Source organism: Homo sapiens, chromosome 1, assembly GCF_000001405.40.
Source record: "Homo sapiens chromosome 1, GRCh38.p14 Primary Assembly".
Taxonomy (NCBI): domain Eukaryota; kingdom Metazoa; phylum Chordata; class Mammalia; order Primates; family Hominidae; genus Homo; species Homo sapiens.
Window position 1 is genome coordinate 145,145,881 of NC_000001.11, and position 15,227 is coordinate 145,161,107.

At 42.3% G+C, this 15,227-nt stretch overlaps 1 protein-coding gene and 1 non-coding gene across 3 annotated transcripts; both read left to right on the forward strand.

The window, feature by feature from the left end:
* The first annotated feature begins 675 nt into the window (after window positions 1–675).
* LOC101929805 (myomegalin-like) lies at window positions 676–4,011 on the forward strand. Of its 2 annotated transcripts, none has more exons than XR_007066541.1 (3): window positions 676–815; window positions 2,361–2,495; window positions 3,794–4,011. XR_007066541.1 is itself a non-coding variant. In XM_017003041.2 (3 exons), the coding sequence occupies exons 1-3, from the start codon at window positions 737–739 to the stop codon at window positions 3,868–3,870; spliced, it is 465 nt and encodes a 154-aa protein (XP_016858530.2). In that variant the 5' UTR covers window positions 676–736; the 3' UTR covers window positions 3,871–4,011. The 2 variants fall into 2 exon arrangements, 1 of the variants encoding a protein (XP_016858530.2); XM_017003041.2 differs by having other exon boundaries at window positions 3,620–4,011.
* Window positions 4,012–11,276: 7,265 nt separating this feature from the next.
* TRNAV-CAC (transfer RNA valine (anticodon CAC)) lies at window positions 11,277–11,349 on the forward strand. The gene has a single exon. It is a non-coding gene; the product is annotated as a tRNA-Val (tRNA).
* Window positions 11,350–15,227: the final 3,878 nt, after the last annotated feature.

Below are 15,227 nucleotides of genomic sequence, written 5' to 3' on the forward strand. Positions count from 1 at the left end.
GAAATGCCAGTTACTTTAGGGTGAAATGGGGAGTCCTTGGGAAATGAGTCTGCTGACATCTGCCTTAGTCTTCATTCCGTGGATTGCTTTATTAGCTTTCGAGGGCTTCCAAAACAAAAAAACACAAACCGGGCGTCTTAAAACAGAAATGTATTCTCTCACAGTTCTGGAGATGAAGACGTCTAAAATCAGGGAGTCAGCAGGGCCATGCTCCCTCTGAAGACTCCAGGGAAGGATCCTTCCTTGCCTCTTCCTAGTTTCTGGTGGTTTCTGGGTTGTAGACACATCACCCCAATCTCTGCCTCTCTTGTTACATGGTCTCCTTCTCTGTGTGTCTCTTTATCTCTGTGTCTCCTCTCCTCTCATAAGGACATCAGTCATGTTGGATTTAAGACATACCCCCAATTCAGTATCATCTCATCTTAACTTATTATATCTACAAAAACCCCATTTACAAATAAGATCACATTCTGAAGTTCCAAGTGAACTGAATGAATTTTTGGAGGACACTATTCAACTCACTATAATTGCCTTTAAAACACTCTTTTATGACTTCCCTGTTGGTTTCTCACTCACATTCCTTTCTGGACAGATGCCAGCCCTGCCATTTCTGCTGATTCAGCTGCTTTGCCCAGCAACCAAGGAACCAGGCCTGCCCAGCCCTTCCATCCTTCGAGCGGCACTGGCCCAGCAGAGCAGGACACTAGAACACGGTAGCAGTGGCCCATGGGAAGAGATGAGGCCTCAAAAAATGAATGCATCTGGAGACCTAGCCTCCTTCTCCTCTTTGTACCAACCCAACTCCGAAACCTCTGGTAAAACACAAAGGAGCACTTAGTGAAATCGAGCCCATTGGTAGGAATGACACATTCCTTTCCTGGCCAGAGGATTTTTTGGTTCCTCTGTTAGAACCTGGTTCATAAAAAATGACAGGACAATATGTAGATCAGCCAGACAGTGAGAACCAGCTCAGTGCTTGTTCTTTGAAAGTGCCTTCTCCTAGCCACCCTACCTAGGAACTCACTCTGGGCAGGAGAGTAGGAGAAGTCAGGGACATTCTGAGGTGCTCTACAAGGAGGATAAGTTACCTCACACTTAAATGTTGCCTTCTCTCTGTGCTACAACCTTCTTAGGCCTAGATTAAGACTGTCCTGGAATGCTAAGCTCAGATTTCCATGGGGAAGGTCTTCCTTAGGTCAGGAGCTACTGTCGGGTGGGAAACTATTTCTACAGAGTCACCCAGCCCTACACACTCTTTCCACTCTTTCACACACATCTTTTTTTTTTTTTTTTTTTATTATACTCTAAGTTTTAGGGTACATGTGCACATTGTGCAGGTTAGTTACATATGTATACATGTGCCATGCTGGTGCGCTGCACCCACTAATGTGTCATCTAGCATTAGGTATATCTCCCAATGCTATCCCTCCCCCCTCCCCCGACCCCACCACAGTCCCCAGAGTGTGATATTCCCCTTCCTGTTTCACACACATCTTTCACACACACTGTGCATACAACCACGTGCCAATCCTGCCCCCATAAACATTGCTTTTGGATTTGGAGCCAAACATCCTGGCACCCGGCAGCTAGGAGTGCAGCTATTTAGAGGAATGGCTTGAAGCAGCTCCATTTCTGTGTCCCAGGTAGTGTAACAATAAGACATTTTAAATTCTCAGAGAAAAGCCTGACCCTACGCAAAATCTCCCAGTGGGTGAAGCCTATTCTCAGCCTCCTCTCTCTGTGCATCTTTTTCCTTCCTTGGAGATTGTTCCCTTCTCTCCTGTTCCCCCACTTCAGATCCTGATACCTTCCCAAGCTCTTCCATGTTCCTCTTTGCCAAAACTGGTTAAAGGAGAACATTCACTATCACTCATTATTCACAGCCTGGTTTAATTTCATATGCACTTACCTTGGTCTTTCTGTCTGTGAGTGAGTGAAATCTCAAAGGCTGTTGAGTCGGGATCATCATCGGGGAGAGGGATGAGGTAGAGAGGGAGATTCTCTGGATTGTTTTCCATACCAAGGAGGTAGACAGCCTTTCCCATTACTAGGCCAGTTCTGCCTAGAGGCCTTTAGCAGTTTCTCACCCTGTGTCCATCTCCCTTAGATGTACTTGGTGGTCTCTGTCTGGGAGGAGGCCTGTGGTGTTTCCTTACAGGGGGCCACCCTGTGATTGAAAGCCCAGGACTTTTAAGTAAAGTTGCCTGGTGCTTCCTGAATGCCCAGGAGAGAGGAAGAAGCTGACAGAAGGATAGAGATAGGTAGGGATCTTGCAGAGAGATGCCACGCAGGCCCCACAGCTGCCCAGGGATGATCAGGCTTCCCTACCTCCTACCTCTCCTATGTCTTGGTGTTTGCAGTAGGGGCCGACCTGCTGGAAAAGAATCTTGCTGAGATACAGAACCTGCGCCAGCGCCTGGAGGAGTCCATCAGTCTCAATGACCGCCTGAGGGAGAGGCTGCAGCATGTGCTTAGCAATGGTGACCAAGGAAAAGGTAGAAAGGCAGAAATTTTATGTTTCTGTCCACGTCTAGGGAGTCTCAAAAGGGCACATAGCTTCTTGGGGCAGAGTTTTACCGGTTTAAAGCACATTGGTGTGCATGATTTCACTTGTTCCTTACAATTAGCCCAGATAGGGAAGCAGAAGGGTACTATTGCTCCCACTGAGTGGTTTGCCCCAAGCAGGGATAGGTCTAATTCTCAGGACTATCTGAAGTGATGTCATTCTTATATGTCCTTATACTGCCTGGTGCTGTTCTTGGGCTTGTGGCCTGACTGGCGAGTGGTAGCACCAAGGTTTCCATGGTGCCCACTTCAGCAGAATGAGAGCAACGTTCCACCTTTATGCCATTACTACATGCCTTTGATATCACCTGGCTCTTCTCTTGTGCTAATGACCCTTATTTCCACACTCTTCACCCTGGATGCTCTCACTTGGAGACCAGTTCTTCCCCATCCCTTCTTCTCTCGTATTAAAGCCAGAAGAATGATGACCTACAACATCATAACTGAAGCCAATTAGTGGGAAAGACCCTGATCCATACCTGAAGCCACTTCACATGAGAGTGTGTGGCCTACTCTGGTGTGCCCAGCAAAACCTGAGCCTGAGCCATATTGCACTGCTATCCCAGTGCAGGAGGACCGCAGGTTTTCAGATTAGCTGAGACTAAAACTTTAATGGGTGCAGGAAAGTACATCTTTGAAAGTATCTGTTACCTAAAGGTATGACTTGTCTGGGTTGTTTTTATTCCCTGTGAAGTATCTACCTCCATCTTCCATGGGTAGGACCTGTAGTCCACACCCTAGTTGTGCAACAGGAAAAGGGCTCAGGGAAGCAAACTGGAGTTTTCAGGCTTCCAGAAGGAAAAAATCAAAGCTGAAGTCACTTCCATATTTCTTCCTTTCTGCAGCAATGCCCAGTTGTAGAAGCAAAGAGAAGTAGGCAGCACAAAAGTTGACCAGATCCACACAGCCTAAAACTATAATAGCTTATTCCCAATCTAGATAAGGCTGCTTCTTAAAAGATCCCACCTACATGTTCGCAGACTCCTGGCTCCAGGAGTAAATATCTCTGGAAAATCTACATGTCATGTTTAAGTTCCTTTCCCAATCTTTGCAGATAATCAGAGAGTCACTAGCTGTCAACTAGAAAGCTTGGTGTCTCTCTTCCTGTCTTTCCCACTTTCACCTGGGTACGGAATAGGAGAGAAGAAATTAAGTTTTTGTTTGGTACAATCAATGAATCTCCTAAATCCCTCCAGACTTCATTGCAGCCCTGTCTCTCCCTCCCTAGGTACTGCACAGTCCACTGTAGCCCCTCATTCATATACTCAGAGTCACTCTTCTGGCTGTGGCGAGGACATCCTGTGACATGATGCCTAGAGAGTCTGGAAGAATGTTCTCCAGAACTTTTCCAGCCCTATCCAACAGAATTCTTGGGTGGGAACTTGGAGGCATTGGATATTATCTTTAAATGAAGAGATCAAATTAATAAATTATTTTTAAAATTAATGTTTATATTTATTTATTGAACACCTATAAAGAGTAAAATTTGTGTAGAAAAGAATAAAACCAGAATGGTCTGAAATGTGTGGAAAAGGTTAAAGGAGAAATGAGTTTTCTTTATTAGCTATCTCTGTTTCAGAAGACTAGAATGGGAATTTCACTGCTGTGGGAAGGTAAGAAATATTAATAGATAGTGAGGATGTAGAATTCCTTGACTTCCATTACATGCTTAGGAAGAACAGAAAAACTGTCACATGTGAAAGGATTGCAGAATAAAATCTGAATGTTTTAAAATGAGGACAACTTACCATACCAGGTGAGCTTCACTCAAGAGAATGACAGAACTCGTGAAGAGCACGCTTGCCTCGAGCCTGGAATATAGCCATTCTGACTACTGTGAGATGATATCTCACTGTAGTTTTAATTTGCATTTCTCTGATGATTAGTGATGTGCATTTTTTCATATGTTTGTTGGCCGCTTGTATGTGTTCTTTTGATAAGTGTCTAGCCATGTCCTTTGCCCATTTTTTAAATAGGGTTATTTGGTTTTGTCTTGTTGATTTAAGTTCCTTATAGAGTCTGGATATTAGTCCTTTGTCAGGTGCATAGTTTTCAAATATTTTCTCCCATTCTGTAGGTTGTCTGTTTACTCTGTTGATTATTTCTTTTGCTGTGCAGAAGCTTTTTAAGTCCCATTTGTCAATTTTCGTTTTTGTTGCATTTGCTTTTGAGGTCTTAGTCATAGGCCAATGTCAAGAAGAGGTTTTCCTAGGTTTTCTTCTAGCATTTTTATGGTTTGACGTCCTATATTTAAGTCTGTAAACCATCTGAATTAATTTTTGTATATGGTGGGAGGTAGGGGTCCAGTTTCATTCTTCTGCATTTGGCTAGCCAGTTTTCCCAGCACCATTTATTAAATAGGGTATCATTTTCCTCATTGTTTATTTTTGTCAACTTTGTTAAAGATCAGTTGGTTGTAGGTGTGTGACTTTATTTCTGGGTTCTCTATTCTTATCCATTGATTCATGTGTCTATTTTTGTGTCGGTACCTTGCTGTTTTTGTTGCTATAGCCTTGTAGTATAGTTTGAAGTTAGGTAATGTGATGCCTCTGGATTTGTTCTTTTTGCTTTGGATTGCTTGACTATTCGGGCCGTTTTTTGGTTCCATGGGGATTTTTTTTTTTTTTTTTTGAGACAGGGTCTCACTCTGTCACCCAGGCTAGAGTGTAGTGGCATGATCTCGGCTCACTTCAACCTCTGCCTCTGGGTTTAAGTGATTCTCCCACCTCAGCCTCTTGAATTAGCTGGGACTATAGGTGTGTGCTACCACGCCTGCTAACTTTTGTGTGTTTTGGTAGAGATGGGGTTTCACCGTATTGGCCAGGCTGCCCTTGAACTCCTGACCTCAAGTGATCCTCCTGCCTCAGCCTCCCAAAGTGCTGGGATTACAGGTGTGAGCCACAATGTCCAGCCCCATAAGAATTTTATAATTTTTTTTTTAAATTCTGTAAAAAATGACATTGGTAACTTGATAGGAATTGCGTTGAATCTTTAGATTGCTTTGGATAGAATGGTCATTTTAACAATATTGATTCTTCCAGTCCACAAGCATGGAATGTTTTCCCATTTGTTTGTGTTGTCTATTATTTCTTTCATCAGTGTTTTGTAGTTCTCCCAGTAGAGATCTTTCACCTCCTTGGTTAAATATATTCCTAGGTGTTTTGTTTATTTGTGTGTGTGTGTGTGTGTGTGTGTGTGTGTGTGTGGCTATTTTAAATGGGATTAAGTTCTTGACTTGGCTGTCAGCTTGAGCATTTTTAGTGTATAGAAATGCTACTGATTTTTGTATGCTCATGTTGTAACCTGAAACTTTACTGAACTTGTTTTTCAAGTCTAGGAGTATTTTGGAGGAATCTTTAGAGGTTTCTAGATGGAGGATCATGTCTTTGGTGAACAGAGATAATTTGACTTCCCTTTTTCCTATTTGGATTGCTTTTATTTCTCCTGACTGATTACTCTGGCCAGGATTTCCAGTACTGTGTTGAATAGGAGTGGTGAGAGTGGACATCCTTGTCTTGTTCCAGTTATTAGGGGGAATGCTTCCAACTTTTGCCTATTCAGTATGATATTGGCTATGGGTTTGTCATAGATGGCTCTTATTATTTTGAGTTATGTTCCTTTGATGCCTGGTTTGTTGAAGGTGTGTATCATGCAACGGATGTAACATTTTATTGAGTGCTTTTTCTGCATCTATTGGGATAATAGTATGGTTTTTGTTTTTAATTCTGTTTATGCAGTGAATAGCATTTTTTCTTTGCGTCTGTTGAACCATCCTTGCATCCTAGGAATAAAGCCCACATGATCATGATGAATTATCTTTTTGATGTGCTGCTGGATTCAGTTTGCTAGTATTTTGTTGAGAATTTTTGCATCTGTGTTCATCAGGGATATTGGCCTGTAGTTTTCTTTTTTTATTGTGTCCCTGCCAGATTTTGGTATCAGGATGATACTGGTTTCATAGAATGAGTTAGGAATCCCTCATCCCCAATTTTTTGGAATAGTTTTAGTAAGATTGGTACCAGCTCTTCTTTGCACGTCTGGTGGAATTCAGCTGTAAAATTCTGTCTGGTCCAGGGCTCTTTCAGATTAGTAGAATTTTTATTACTGATTCAATTACATAACTCATTATTGGTCTGTTCAGGATTTCAATTTCTTCCTGGTTCAATCTTAAGAAGCTGTGTGCTTCCAGGAATTTAACTATTTCTTCTAGGTTTTTCTAGTTTGTGCGTGTAGAGATGCTCATAGTAGTCTCTGAGGATCTTTTGTATTTCTGTGATATGAGTTGTAATGTCACCTTTGTAATTTCTGATTGTGCTTATTTGGATCTTTTTTTCCTGGTTAATCTAGCTAGTGGTCTATCAATCATTCAAATAACCAACTTTTCATTTCATTGATCCTTTGTATTTTTTTTTTTATCTCTGTTTCATTTAGTTCTGCTCTGATCTTAGTTATTTCTTTCCTTCTCCTAGCTTTGGGTTTTGTTTCTTCTTCTTTTCCTAGTTCTTTAGGTGTGGTATTATGTTGTTAATTTGAGATCTTTCTATCTTTTCAAGGTAGGTATAGAGTGCTATAAACTTTCCTCTTAACACTGCTTTTCTATATTCCAGAGTTTTTGGCACATTGTGTCTCTACTTTCATTTGTTTCAATTTTTTTTTATTTCTGCCTTAATTTTATTGTTTACCCAAAAATGATTCTGTTGTTTAGTTTCCATGTATTTGTGTGGTTTTGAGAGTTCCTCTTGGCATTGATTTCTGCTTTTATTCTACTGTTGTCTGAGAAGATACTTGATATAATTTCATTTTTTAAAAAATTTATTGAGACTTGCTTTATGACTGAGTATGTGGTCAATCTTAGAGAATGTTCTGTGCACAGATGAGAACAATGTATATTCTGTGGTTGTTGGATAGAGTATTCTATAGACATCTATTAGGTTCATTTGGTCAAGAGTCCAATTGAAGTCCAAAGTTTCCTTGTTAGGTTTCTGCCTCAGTGATCTGTCTAGTGCTGTCAGTGGGATGTTGAAGTCCTCCACTAGTATAGCATGGCTGTCTATTTCTTTGCTTAGGTGTAGTTGTATTTGTTTTATAAATTTGGGTGCTTCAATGTTAGGTGCATATATATTTAGGATAGTTAAATCTTCTTGTTGAATTGAATGCTTTCTGATTATGTAATGCCCTTCTTTGTCTTTTTTCTTTTTTTAACTCTTGTTGGTTTAGTCTGTTTTACTTGATACAAGAATAGCAACTCCTGACCTTTCTTGTTTTCCATTTGCATAACAGATCTCTATCACTTTACTTTGAGCCCCTGGGGGCTATAAAATGTAAGATAGGTCTCAAAGGCCATGGAAAGTTTGATTTTTTTTTTTTCCCAATTTGCCACCCTATGCCTTTTTTTTTTTTTGATGGAGTCCCAGGCTGAGTTCAGTGGTGCGATCTTGGCTCACTGCAGCCTCTGCTTCCTGGGTTCAAGTGATTCTCCTGCCTCAGCTTCCCGAGTAGCTGGCATTACAGGCGCCCACCACCACGCCCAGCTAATTTTTGTATTTTAGTGGAGATGAAGTTTCACCATGTTGGCCAGGCTGGTTTCGAACTCCTGACCTCAAGTGATCCACCCACCTTGGCCTCCCAAACTGCAGGGATTACAAGTGTGAGCCACCACACCTGGACTACTCTATGCCCGTTAAGTGGAACTTTCAGGCCATTTACATTCAAGGTTAATATTCATGTGTGAGGTGTTATTTCTGTCATAGTGTTAAGCTAGTTGCTTTGTAGACCCAATTATATATTGCTTTATAAGGTGTACGAGCTTTGTAATTACATGTGCTTTTATGGTAGCAAGTACCATCCATATTTAGAACTCCTTTGAACATTTATTATAGAGACTATCTGGTGTTAATGAATTCCCTTAGCATTTCTCTGTCTGGGAAAAACTATTTCTCCTTCATTTATGAAGCTTAAATTGGCAGAGTATGAAACTTTGACAGGCAGTTTTTTTTTTCTTTTAGGTGGCTAAAAATAGGCCCCAGTTTCTTCTGACTTGTAAGATTTCCGTTGAAAAGTTTGCTGTTAGTCTGATGGGATTTCCTTTATAGATAATCTGGCCCTTTTCTTCAGCTGCCTTTAAGATTTTTTCTTTCACATTTATCTTGGGAAGTCTGATGACTGTATGCTTTTCACTGGTTATCTTGTATAGTATCTTGCAGAAGTTGTCCAAATTTCTTGTATCTGAACATCAATCTCTCTTGAAAGGTTAGGAAAATTCTTTCCTGAATTATTCCTTCAAATATGTTTTCCAGGTTGCTTACTTTTCTTCTTCTCTCTCAGGAATGCCAATAAGTCATAGGTTTGATCGCTTTACATAACCCCATAATTCTCAAAAGCTTTGTTCATTTTTAAAAATTCATTTTTCTTTACTTTTGTCTGACTAGGTGAATTTGAAAGACCAACCTTCAAGCTCTGAAATTCATTCTTCTGCTTGTCTAGTCTATTATTAAAGCTTTCAATGTATTTTGAAATTCCTTTAGTGAATTTTTCAATTATAGAAGTTCTATTTGTATTTTTCTTAATATAGTTTTCTTGTCTTTCATATTCTGTATTGTTTTTCTGATTTCTTTGCATTGGACTTCAACTTTTTCTTGGATCTCATTGAGTTCCCTTGCAATCCGTATTTGGAATTCTTATCTGTCATTTCCGACATTTCAGTCTGGCTAGGATCCATTGCTAGAAACTAGTGTGATCCTTTGGAAGTGTGTAAATACTCTGGGTACACTGGAGTTATTGCACTGATTCTTTCTCATCCGAGGAAGCTGTTGCTTCTTAGTTTTGAATTTGGTATTGTTTGGATGAGGATTTTTAATGTTTTTATTCTTTTTTTCCCTTGATGGTATGACTGTGGTGTATGTTGTGTATGATTGTTTGGCTTCATTTCTGGGTGCTTTCAGGGAGCCCTAGCTTTGTATGGGTTTCTTGGTTGTGGATAGCTTCTGAGCAGTAGCTTTCTCAGATGCTGCTTGTTGTGGTGATGTATTGGAAGTAAAAGCTAACACACTAACCCTTGTTGGGGGCTGAGGGTACGGAATTCTCAGGAAACTTATCTCATGGACTAGCACTAAGCCCTTTGGTAGCAGGGTTTTTGAATTCAGTGGTCCAGTTTAGGATGCAGTCCAGTAGATGGTGCTTAAGAGTCAGGGCTGTTACGTAGGCTGGTGTCCAGTGGAAAAACCTGCCCTGACAGGATGGTGGGAAAGAGATCATGTCGGGGTGTGCTGAGGTCTCAGGGGAAGGGGCAGAGGTGCACTAGCTCCTCCTCCTGAGTAGGCAAGAATGTGATCCGCTTCCCTATCATGCCCTGTCACAGAGCTCACAACCTTCATTTTATAAAGACTTTGTCCTTTGGTTCCTGGCTGTGGTGCAGCTGAAGTCTGTGGATATGGCACTCTGACAGCTACCACTAAAATGGGGTTTAGGGCAAAGCCTCTTCCCCGAGTCCAGGGCAGGCAACTCCATGGTCTGTCCTCCATTGTCAGGGCACTGCAGCTCTGTATAGGGAGGGAGAGTTGGGCCCGTCCTTCCTGAAAGCCCAAGCAGCACAGGCTCACTTTCAGCCTGGGTGGTGCCACCATGAATAACGTGCATAATGTTCTCTCCTGGTGCATACTCACTGGGTCCTGGAGAAAAGAACCACTGCTATGTCTGCAGCCATATACGGGGTAGGGGAGAGATGATCCCTGCTTTTCCTGCTTTTCCACTCCTGTTCCTGGGTGTCAATGCTGCCCTCTTCTGCGATTGGTGCCATGCCAGTGTTTTCTTTGTCCCTAGGAGGGCTTTGGGACAGTGAGCAAACAATTGTTCTGATAAACGCAATTTAACCCGCGACCCTTGGCTCGCTCAGGTCGTGGGGTTGGGCCGCCTTTGCGCTTTTCCTTTGGATCTGCCCTTCTTCTGGGTTTGTTCTCTCGAGCTAGGGGAAGGCCTGGGTCCCCTCTCTTTGGCTCCTCTTGCCGTATCAGAAACCTCACACTCCTTCCTTTTCCAGAGAAGCTTCAGAGTGCTTTGTTGGGTTTGCTGGAACTCGGCAGGGCGCAAGTATGTGGGGATGCGCGCTGTGAGTCTCTGTTTCCTCCGCTGTGACGGCTCTTCCCGCTCCTGTAGGAAAAGGCAATGCCCCTTTTGTCTTGTCTATGTGGGACTCCAAAGGGTCCAGACGAGACAGAAAGGGGGCGAATCCTCTCAGAGTGGGCAGGGGAGGAGATACAATGTGGGAATGGGGCGGTAGAGGGGTGGGATTTCATGAAATTTCCTGATTTAAGGCGATCATGAAGTAGGCCTCTTTGGGAGGTTGGCCCTCCAGTCGCTGGTAAGGGTAACAGCCCACCAGTCTCTGGTGAGGTCCAGTCGCGTCCCCCGACTGCATTTAGAGCCAAAAGCAGAACGAGGCCGGCGCTGCGGCCTGGCGTCCAGTGACCCAGCTGTCTGCATATTCCCCAGGGTGCAAGCACTTGGACTTCAGGTGTGAAGGCAATGCGGTCACCACCGCAGTAAGAAAAGCAACTAGGGAAAATGGCACCTTCTTCTCCCAACTTTTTTTTGAGACTCTCGCTCTGTCGTCTAGGCTGGAGTGCAGTGGTGCGATCTTGGATTTGGAAACTATAATAGAAACGGCTGATCTAAGATTTTCATGGTTATGTTTTGCCGCGCAGGTTCCGCGTGTGGTTTCCGTAGTGTAGTGGTTATCATGTTCGCCTCACACGCGAAAGGTCCCCGGTTCGAAACTGGATGGAAACATAGGTTTTTGTTTTTTTGTTTTTTTTGTTAGCCCTTAAATTTAGTGAGTTTACTCGAGGTTGGAAAACAGAAAAATAGTTGAACCTGTGACTACATTTTAGACCTCATCAATCTATACAGATTGTCGACCAGGCTACAATTTCCACTGGTCTGCCAGGAAGAGGACGTCACAGCAGGCCTGCTTAATATTAACTTTGGTTCCAGCAATTCCTTAAGGTTCTCTTCATTCTCTTTATCGCCTGAATTTTCACAGGCAGACACCGAAAGTGGATGACATGTTAGCGCATTTCCTAAGGGTCCAGCTTGGCTTCGCTTTACTCTGATACAGTTGCAGATCTGGCTGATTTGCGAGACAACAAAAACAAAATGTTTTTTAAAAACGTTCCAAATCTGCATCTGGAACTCATGGAGTCAATATTCCGAAATCACACGAATTATGTACATACATTTGCATGCATACCCCTTCCCCAAATAATCCTCAGAAAACCGGTAAGCGTCCAAACTACTCTCCGGAGGCTTAGGTAATCAACAATTTAATAAATACAATTGCTAATGTATGGTGTACAGATCCTGTATTGCCCACCCTTCTCTATTGCTTTGTCCCCGCGCGCCCTCTGTTTTGCCTAAATGGGTTCCAGGCCATAGCCACCGACTCTCGCTTTGCCTTCTGGCCTCTCGGCAGTGCGCTTCAGCACCATTGCGCCAGGTGACGCTGCTGAGAACAGCTGAGTGGCCGGCACTAGTGCAGCTGGAAGCCAAGGCCCAGAATTCTCAGGAATCTGCACTTTACCCAGGCGAAAAGCCCAAGGGCTCTCCCCACAGCTTCCCAACATCCCTCTACAGAGTTTTTAAATATTAGACTTATTAACCTGTAGAGATGGAGAGAATCAAAGAAATCACAAGGTATCTCTGAGGGAAAAAGAAGAGCACCAGCAGTAAATCACTTAAGAGTATTGAACCAGCAAGCCAGGGATAGGAGAATGGAATGGAAACTGACAGGATGACTGCAGAGGATGGTACTGAGGGTGGATGCGAACCACTACTTACTATTAATATATTGAGCCAAGCACACTAATGGGGGCATAACCAAAATACTTAATAGGGCACTCTTTTACCCACCATGTGTTTTACAATATAGTTGCTAAAGGATGTATCACCCTACTGGTTCTAGAAGCTTCTGGAGCCAAGGAGCCAGAGCATGAGAGCATAAAAATCCTGTCAATTGAAGCCTTGGGCTCTACACTGCTAAGCCTGGCCCAGAGGCTGGATTGCAAATGCAGGTGCTAGTGTAATGGAATGGATGTTTGTGTTCCCTTCATATTATATATTGAAGCCTTAACCCCCAATGTGAAGGTATTTTGGAGGTAGGGCCTTTGGGAGGTAATCAGGTTTAGATGAGGTCATGACCATGGGATCTCCATGATGAGATCAGTGTCATTATAAGAAACAGAAGAAAGACGAAAGTGCTCTCTTTCTCTCCACCATGCGAGGACAGAAGGAGAATGTAGCAGTCTGCAAGCCAGGGAGAGAGCCCTCACCAAGGAGGTGAATCCGCTGGCAGTTTGATCTTGGACTTCTCAGCCTCTCAAACTGTGAGAAAGAAATTCCTCGTGTTTAAGCCACCCAGTCTGTGGTATTTTGTTATGGAAGCCTGAGTTAAGACAGCTGGTTCACTGGGGAATCCACTGGTGTGAACCTGTGAAAAGTTTGTGACATGTGAAGTAGTTTGCTGCTCCTGGATTTGAGTATTGGCAAGAGCTGTTAGAATGATGAGCATAGAGTGAAGAAGGGTACAGAGAATATGGTATTAATCATTGTACTGAAGAAATAAAGGGACATTATATGGTTCTAGGCTGAAGTTATGTGCAGATTTAAGCTGTGGAAGGGTCACTCAGCATACAGTGTGGCAAGTGAGTGGTGCATACTACACTGGCTGTAGGGAGTCCAGTTTTTTGTTGTTGTTGTTGTTTTGTTTTTTTTTTTTTTTTGAGGTGGAGTCTTGCTTTTTCACCCAGGCTGGAGTGCAGTTGTGTGGTCTTGGCTCATTGCAACCTCTGCCTCCTGGGTTCAAGCGATTCTCCTGCTTCAGCCTCCCGAGTAGCTGGGACTACAGATGGGTGCCACCACGCCTGGCTAATTTTTTTTTTTGTAGTTTTAGTAGAGATGGGGTTTCACCATGTTAGTCAGGATGGTCTCAATCTTCTGACTTCGTGATCCGCCTGCCTTGGCCTTCCAAAGTGCTGGGGTTACAGGCTTGAGCCACCGCACCTGGCCAGGAGTCCAGTTTTTTGTCTGCTTATGTTAATGGATGCAAGAGCCGATAGATGGAAAAGTGTGGTAATAAAGTGGCAGTAAGCTTGTGGAGTATCCAATAAACTTAAACGCTATTTTTTTTGAATTGAACTGAAATTGTTGTGTTATGAAAATGAGAGAGTTTATCCAAAGAAAGATCTGGCTTGGCAAATAGGATAGATGGTGGTGAGGATAAGTGTGCTAGGCAGGGCTAGAAACAGGTTTTAGTGATCATTGAAACACCCAGGGCAGTGCACTACTCTTTGGGAGATGCTGTGCTTGAGTCTGATCATTGGGTTTTGAGGTAGAGGGTGGTACATATTGCTGACAGGGAACTCACCGGTGTGTTGAGTTTTAGCATCTGTGACTCTGAGATGCATATGAGGCCTTTGTAAATTTAGAAGTTGAGAGTAGAAAGTACAGGTTTGTATTTTAGAAGGAGATTTGGGAATAAATGTAGCTCTGGTTGATATAGATAATATGTTAAGGTTTGTTGGCCAGAGCTGGTGTGTGTCTTGGGTGTTGGGCAAAGAACAGAGAACAGTCAAAGCTCTGTGAGGTCAATGTGAAGGGTGATTTCCTTGTTGGGCTCAAGTTTATGACCCAGCCTGGACCTAGCTTGGCTTCTCAGCTAGAGAAGAAGCATGATTCCATGTCACAACTCCTGTCTTTGAAAAAGTCATAATGACTCACAGACCCAACATGTGGGGCAAACTCTCTGAATTTTTCTCTTCAGTTTAATCTCTCCAGGGAAAATTGAGAAAAGAAATCTCTCTATTTGAACTTCATCAAAAGACTAATATGTTAATATTTTGACCATCAATATTTCCTTAAACTAGTCTACTCCTTACATAGCTAATACATCAAAGCATATTAACTTAGGAAATTGGATTCTCTCTAACAATGAAATATTGACTGCAGGCATTATTAATCTTTTTATATCACATTTCCTTTAAATGCTTTATACATCTTCAAGCAGACAAATAACAGTATTATGGTTACAAGACCGATCATTACTCTTTTGCCAAAAAAACCAGCGACAAAAGACTAACTCAGTGGACCAACCTTTGTTTCTTCATTATCTCTACCTTGATTCTGTCCTTTTATTTCCTCTTTCCTCTAATTCTAATTCTGCTTCTGCTTCTTATTTCCTCCCTGGATTAGAACTTTACTTACCTAAGCTACCAGTTAGGTTACCTTCTCAGAACCACTAAGGCAGCAGTTTGACGTTGACAATTGAAGATTTAGGATTACAAAAAAGAAACATGAATGAATTTGTGACGTTTTATTATAGGGGTATGTAATGCAGGTAGAAAGACCTTTTTCAGAGTTAAGAGTTTGATCCGACAAATGAGCTATTTTGATATTTATAACTTTGTTTAGTAAAAGTTTCCTATAAAAACATTTGGTTTGGATGAATGAGCTATTTTGATATTTATAACTTTGTTTAGCAAAAGTTTCCTATAAAAACATTTGGTTTGGATGTCTTTGTTAGCTTTGAGTCGACACTTGAAAAGGCCGCTTGGAAGTTTCTAAGTCTTTCTGGATACTCTTTCCGGTAATTCTCCAAGGGTTGCTGGGGAGAG

Coding starts and splice junctions, on each gene's coding strand:
- LOC101929805 (XM_017003041.2), top strand. CDS start 737: ATGAGGCCTCAAAAAATGAATGCATCTGGAGACCTAGCCTCCTTCTCC. Junction 816..2,360: donor ACCCAACTCCGAAACCTCTG/GTAAAACACAAA, acceptor TGGTGTTTGCAG/TAGGGGCCGACCTGCTGGAA. Junction 2,496..3,619: donor CAATGGTGACCAAGGAAAAG/GTAGAAAGGCAG, acceptor CAATCTTTGCAG/ATAATCAGAGAGTCACTAGC.